This window comes from Homo sapiens, chromosome 14 (assembly GCF_000001405.40).
Source record: "Homo sapiens chromosome 14, GRCh38.p14 Primary Assembly".
NCBI classification, from domain to species: domain Eukaryota; kingdom Metazoa; phylum Chordata; class Mammalia; order Primates; family Hominidae; genus Homo; species Homo sapiens.
In genome coordinates this window covers 43,299,915-43,306,545 of record NC_000014.9, presented here as the reverse complement: position 1 = coordinate 43,306,545, position 6,631 = coordinate 43,299,915, and the positions used below count along the sequence as shown (strand labels likewise).

General features: G+C 32.2%; 1 pseudogene; it reads right to left on the bottom strand.

Annotated features, from left to right (window-relative positions):
• On the bottom strand, window positions 5,637–6,278 carry HNRNPUP1 (heterogeneous nuclear ribonucleoprotein U pseudogene 1; annotated as a pseudogene).

Genomic DNA, 6,631 nt, shown 5'->3' with positions numbered 1-6,631 from the left:
TAAAATTAGTACACATTTTAAAAGTACGGTCATGGTTATAGATGTGTATATCCTAAACACCAATTATAACAGCAAAGGGATGGTTACTGTTAACTTGCTTACCAAAGGTCTATTCTGTAGATGACACTGCTCTTGCATAATACATGATTGGTTTATCATTACCATCTGGAATAATCTCTTTAACAGATTCAAAGTAGGTTCTATGTTATCATGAACTCCTATACATATATTTTAGCATAGATGAATAATGTTTCTATAGCAAAATTTGTCAGCATATAAAACATAAAGATTTTGCAAGAGTGGCCAATTTTCTGTATCCTTGTCAAACAAAAAAGTAATGATTTTTCTTTTTGTCAAACTAATTATCATTCCAAAATAGTGACTCACAGAATTTGTATACCCTTTTTTATGAATGTGGTGGCACATCATCTTTTCATGTTTCATGTTTATTGGGACTTTGTCTTCTTACGGTTCTATTTGTCGTGTTTTTCCTAAGCAGATTTTTTTTTTTGCTTCCCTTATTGATTTGTAAGGACACTTTATATAATATATTCTAAATATAAGCCATTTTTCTGTTAATTATAAGCCACAGGTTAAAGCAAAGTTCTGGAAGTTCATGCACTTTGCGGTGGGGAGGAGCCTGGCCCCTCCTCTTCCTGTGTGGAACTGGGGATTTGAATGGCCAGGTGGGAAGCTCTCTTGCAGGGACTGTGGCCTAGCGAGAGTCCCTGTTTCCCCCTTTTCTTTCTTTTCACTCAATAAAACCCTGCTTTACTCACCTTTCAAACCGTCTGTGAGTCTAAATTTTTGTGGTTGCAGGACTTTTCCTTAGTTCAGCTAAATGCAACCATGGCATACAAAAAAGTTTGGTAATACCTAAGGAGACTATGACGAAAACTAGCATAATAATGACCTAGTAGCTTACCACTACCCACTTCTATTTATTTTCAACCCATTAACAAATATATTCTGTTTGGAAAGTTTCATGTTCTAAACTCTCTCTGTAAAAAGTTTTCCAGATGAATTAATCCTTTCAGTTTATTCCTCATTCTGTAATATTGGAGCAGTTTTGTAGTATTAATTATAACATATATCTTGATTGGTTTTTACAAATTATAAGAATTCTAGTGTGAAGACTTTACTATGTCTAAATATAGCTAAAAATATGTGGTTTCATGGAATGAGAACAAGAGAAAGCACACACATGAGCTTCTCTTTCCTATGCATGAGATTAATCTTTGGTGTCTCCACTACAGAGGAGACGATATATAGATAAGAAAAAAAAATCAAGATAGGGAAGAGGCTACAAGAAAAATATAAATTATTGCTGGTATGTCTCTTGAGCCCAGCCAAATGACAATAATTTTTGGAGTGAGAAAGTGTTGAAAGAGATGTAGAATACTATGTTTTTATACAGAGATGTAGAGACTTACAGCTGTGGGTTTAAACTGATAAGACCTGAGTTCTTAGATCTGAAGCAGATATGTGCCAACATAAGATAAAAAAAGAATGTTCACAGTAATTAATCTTTATTTAAATCACAGAAAGGATTTGAAAGATTCTGAGGTGAACAGAGGAGAAATCACAAGTATTAGGCATTATGGCTATTCTGTGTGTAATAAAAAAACATGACAGATAATGAAAACTTACCCTTATCTCATTTTAGCCCATGGATTCATCTGGCATGGAGATTAAACCACTGCTTTTTTATATCTTACTTCTTTAGAAAAGTACAACCAAAGTGAACTTAATTTTGAAAAGGTCATACTACAACCAAAATGCAATAATCTGGATAACTCAGTTTAAGCATAAGATAATGGTACACTTTAGTTCCTATGACCCTACATAATAAATGTAACAAAAGTCAGGCTTGGCATACTTGTGAAAGAATGAAACTAAAATTTTGATTTAGAAGAGTACAGCTCCAAGCACAATATCTGATCCTTGAACCATATATCTATTTTAAAAGATCCACAAAAGATAGATAAAACAGTCCTAGACAAAATAAGTTTTGACCCCAAACTTTTCCTATTACTTTATTGGAGTTCCAAACATGCTTAGTACATCACTTTTATAGTATTGTATTTCCTGTATTTTGAAGAAAGCAGAGTTTGAAATTGTACTTGCTGGATTTCTGACCCAGTCAATGTACAGACTACTCTAAAAATCTTGAGAATTGTAAGTCTTTATCTTCATAGCTTTTATGTAATATATGTATACAGTTGGCCCTTGAACAACATAGATTTGGACTTGCCAAGTATATTTATATAGAGAGTTTCTTCCACCTCTGCTATCCCCAAGACCTGAAACAGCAGGAACAGCCCCTCCACTTCCTTCTTCTCAGCCTGCTGAATGTGAAGATGAGATGAAGATCTTTATGATAATCCACATCTACTTATTCAATAGTAAATGTATTTTGTCTTCCATATGATTTTCTTAGTAGCAGTTTCTTTTCTCTAGATTATTTTATTATAAGAATATAGTTTAAAAACATATACAACATATGTGTTAATTTACTATTTATGTTATCGGTAAGTCTTCTGGTCAACAGTAGGTTATTAGTAGTTAGGTATTGGAGGAGTTAAATGTTCTACACAGAGATTAGACTGCGTTGGGATTGGCGTTCCTTAACCCTGTATTGTTCAAGAGTCAACTGTAGTTTTTTCTCTGGAATATATTAACATAGAAAAAAACTAATACGTTATTTTCATAATTTAATTCTATTCTGTGGTCTTAAACTGACTGTGTTAGTTTTAAAAAGTCACTTAAATTGTCTGAAACTTTTTTTACCTATAAAAGTAAATTAATAATCCTCCTATTGCTCTTTAACATTTATTAAAAATTTACTGTTTGCTAGACATTGTGTTAAGTGTTATATACAGATGAATTCATTTAATACTCACATTAAGTCTGTGAAATTAAAAACTACCTTTTTTACAGATGGAGTAGCTGAGGTGCAGAGTTGAAATACTAAACAAAAGTCACATACTAATAAATGGTTGAACAGTATTTGAAATAAAAATATGACTTCTTTTAGATTCTTAGATTTTTATCACTATTTTTACACTTCTTAGTATTGGACTATTGTAAGAATCAAGAAATGAAAAATGTTTTGTAAGCTTCGAAAATAGTTATCTGCTATGTATACTGAGGTTGTTGTTATAAAGGCATCAGCTATTAGCCAATTCCTCTAGAAAAATAAGAGGAAATTTTATAAAATAATGACATCCTTTTGCAAAGCATTAGCAAAGAATATGGGATGGAAATATTTAAACTTACAATATAGATGGAGAATATATGTGTTTGTGTGTGTGTGTACGTGTGTGTGTATAAAAGTTACTGAGTTAGTTGCTAATTACATTTTGGAGTTATTATTATGAAAAATATATTAATGTCCTTGTGATCATGAAATCTGCATTCTAGTGTATAAAGAGCAAACACAAATGACCAAAAGTGAAAGGCAGATATAGTAAATATGTGAATCAGAATATGTGAAAGACCATCAATTGTTATACATCTATAGAGAAATGGAAGAAGAGGTTTGTTAAAATTTGTTCATATTCACTAAGTCAACATTAATAAGAATAGATTCTTGACCAATAAATATAACACATCTATCATCCTAGATTGGCAGTGTAAAGCTTCTGGGCTACCTTAAAAGAGTCCGTGTCTTATAAATCTGTTAAAATAAATAACATATAAGTTTAAAATATCTTAACCTAGGAAATTGTTGATGCCACAAAAATTAACGCATAGTTTAAAAAGAATTTTTTACCTGAAGAATGCAGTTTAATTTTTCTTTTTCAGAAATAATAGTTTATTTGAAAATATGACACACTTGAGAATCACTGTACCAGAATTTCATATACATTTTAAAATTCGTAACAATTAAAATCAACTATTGAAAAGCGTGCATATAGGAGAATAATTATTTTTTACTGATTATACTTTTAAGACTATTAGCTTATATAAAATGTGCTTTTTATGAGAAGTTATAAAGAAGAGATAATATTCAGCCTAGTGAACCAATCACAAGTCTTTCAAAAGAATATAACCCCTATCCCAATAAAAATAGTTTAAGACATTTACTTCTTGATTTAAAAAATACTTAAATGCTTATTTGGCATGAAAGAATAAAGTTCCAACAGTCAAAACGAATAAGGTAAAAACATTATTGAGAATAATATCAAAGCCCTAAATGATCAAAGAAGACAATAAGTATACCATATGATTTTAAGAAATAGAATAAACATGATTACAGATACTGGCAAGTGATTTCAAACCCTTTATTCTATGCATTATGATATAAAAATTTACTCAGGAATATTTTGGAGCTTGTAGCAATGAACACACAAACAGTAATTTTTTTTGAAATATCATTGCCCTGAATTTATTCCATATGGCTCCTGTTGTTATACCATATTTCCTTTACTATCTCTGAAAAGTAAATCTTTACATTTAATCTTCACATTTTGTTATCAATTCTTACACCATAAAAATTATATAATTAATTATCCTCATTGTCTTTCCAACTGATCCACCCTGGTATCCCAGTTGGTCATTATGTATTTCTTTAAATACATAAATAAAGTGTTAGCTCAAGTTGCTAACACTTTATTAGGAATGATTTCATCTCTGCCAATGAGGCATAATGGTCTGCAGTTCTTTTTAAATCTGATATAGTTTTCTAGATTTGATATTACTGTAACACTGGTCTTATGAATTGAGTTGGCAAATGTTCCAACCTACATTATTTTCTGAAAATACAAAGTATATGGTTGGTATTTTTTCTTCCCTAAATATTTGACAATTCACCAGTGAAGCCATCTGGGCCTAGAGTTGTCTTTGAAAGTTTCTTATTGTTGATTCAATTCCTTTTGAGTAATAGAAGGTATTCATATTTCTTCTAGAGTATGTTTGTGTAATTTGTGTGTATGTGTGTGTGTTTTACAGATAGAAGAGGTATTAGTGCAATTTTATTACATGAGGATATTTTCCGTAGTGGTGAAGTCTGGGATTTTGGTGTAATCATCACCCAAATAGTGTACTTTGTACCCATTAGATAATTTCTTATTCTTTCTCCCCTCTCCCACCCTACCACCTTTCAGACTCGCCAGTGTCTATTATGCCACTCTCTATGTCCATGTACACATTATTTAGCTCTCACTTATAACTGAGAACATGTAGTATTTGACTTTTTGTTTCTGAGTTATTTCACTTAAGGTAATTGTCTCCAGTTTCATCAACATTTCTGCAGAAGGCATGATTTCATTTTTTTTATGCCCCTGAGTGGTATTCCGTGGTGTATGTGTGTTTGTGTATGTGTTTATGTATGTGCTATATTACATTTCCTTTTTCCAATAATCCATTGAGGGATATTTAGGTTGAATCCATATTTTTGGTTAAATGTATACCAAGGTATTTTTGTGAATGTGGTTATTGTAAATGGGATTTACGTGTGATTTGGTTTTCAGTGTGATTGTTACTGTTGTATTAAATACTACTGATTTTTATATGTTGATATTGTAACCTGAAACTGTACTGAAGTCATTTGTCAAATCTAGGCGTCTTTTGGAGGAGTCTTTCTCATCAGCAGAGACAATCTGACTTTCTTTTTTCTTTCTTTTTTTTTTTTTTACAAAGCAACATTTTATTTCTGATTTAAAAAAAAAAGTCAAATTTTACAGATAAAATGTAGAACCCTGAAATACTGACACATTCTCTTATTGTGCACAATGCTGAGGTTCTCTTACGATTCACTTTTAAACTGCAATTAAAAATGTACAAAAAAGAAAAGAAAAAAAAATCAACCCACAAAGCTTCTAAAAAAGGAACCCGCAGGCAATTCCTCTTGAGGAATGTTTAAAAAGTTAGCTTACTAAAGAAAACAGTCGACTTCTTGTGAAGGTTTTGGAGTAATATGTATCAATTCGTTTTATTTGGGTATTCAATAATATCCTTGGGGATAATGCTGACTCCATGGCTTCCGACCCCAGAATTGACCCTGCTGCCACTGGTTGTAGCCCTGAGATTGATTTTTGTAGCCACGATTGTTTCCTCGTCCTCTGAAGTTCTGGCTGTAGTTCCCTCTGTTGGGCATTCCACCTCTGTTGTAGTTCCCTCTGTTTGAATAACTACCACAGCCAGGAAAAACAGGGGCACGAGGGTATGGATAGCCGATTCCACCACTTCCGCCGCCACCACCACCTCTCTGTGGCATGTTGTCCCTCCTATTATATCCGCCACGGTTCCCAGGGGCTCCTCTGAAATTTCCACCATGGAGGATTCAATTTGACTTTCTTTTGTCCAATTTGGATGGCTTTAATTTCTTCTCTTGCCTGATTGCTCTGGCTAGGACTACCAATACTACGTTGAACAAGAGTAAAAAAATTGGGCGTCCTTGTCTTGATACATTACTTGAAGGAATACTTTCAACTTTCCATTGTTACATATGATGTTGGCTGTGAGCTCATCATATATGACTCCTATGATTTTGAGATGTTCCTTTCATGCTTTGTTGATAGTTTTTATCATGAAGAAATGTTAAATTTTATGAAATTTTTTTTCTGTATTTATTGAGATAATCATATTGTTTTGTTTTTAATTATGCTTATTTGGTGAATCACATTTA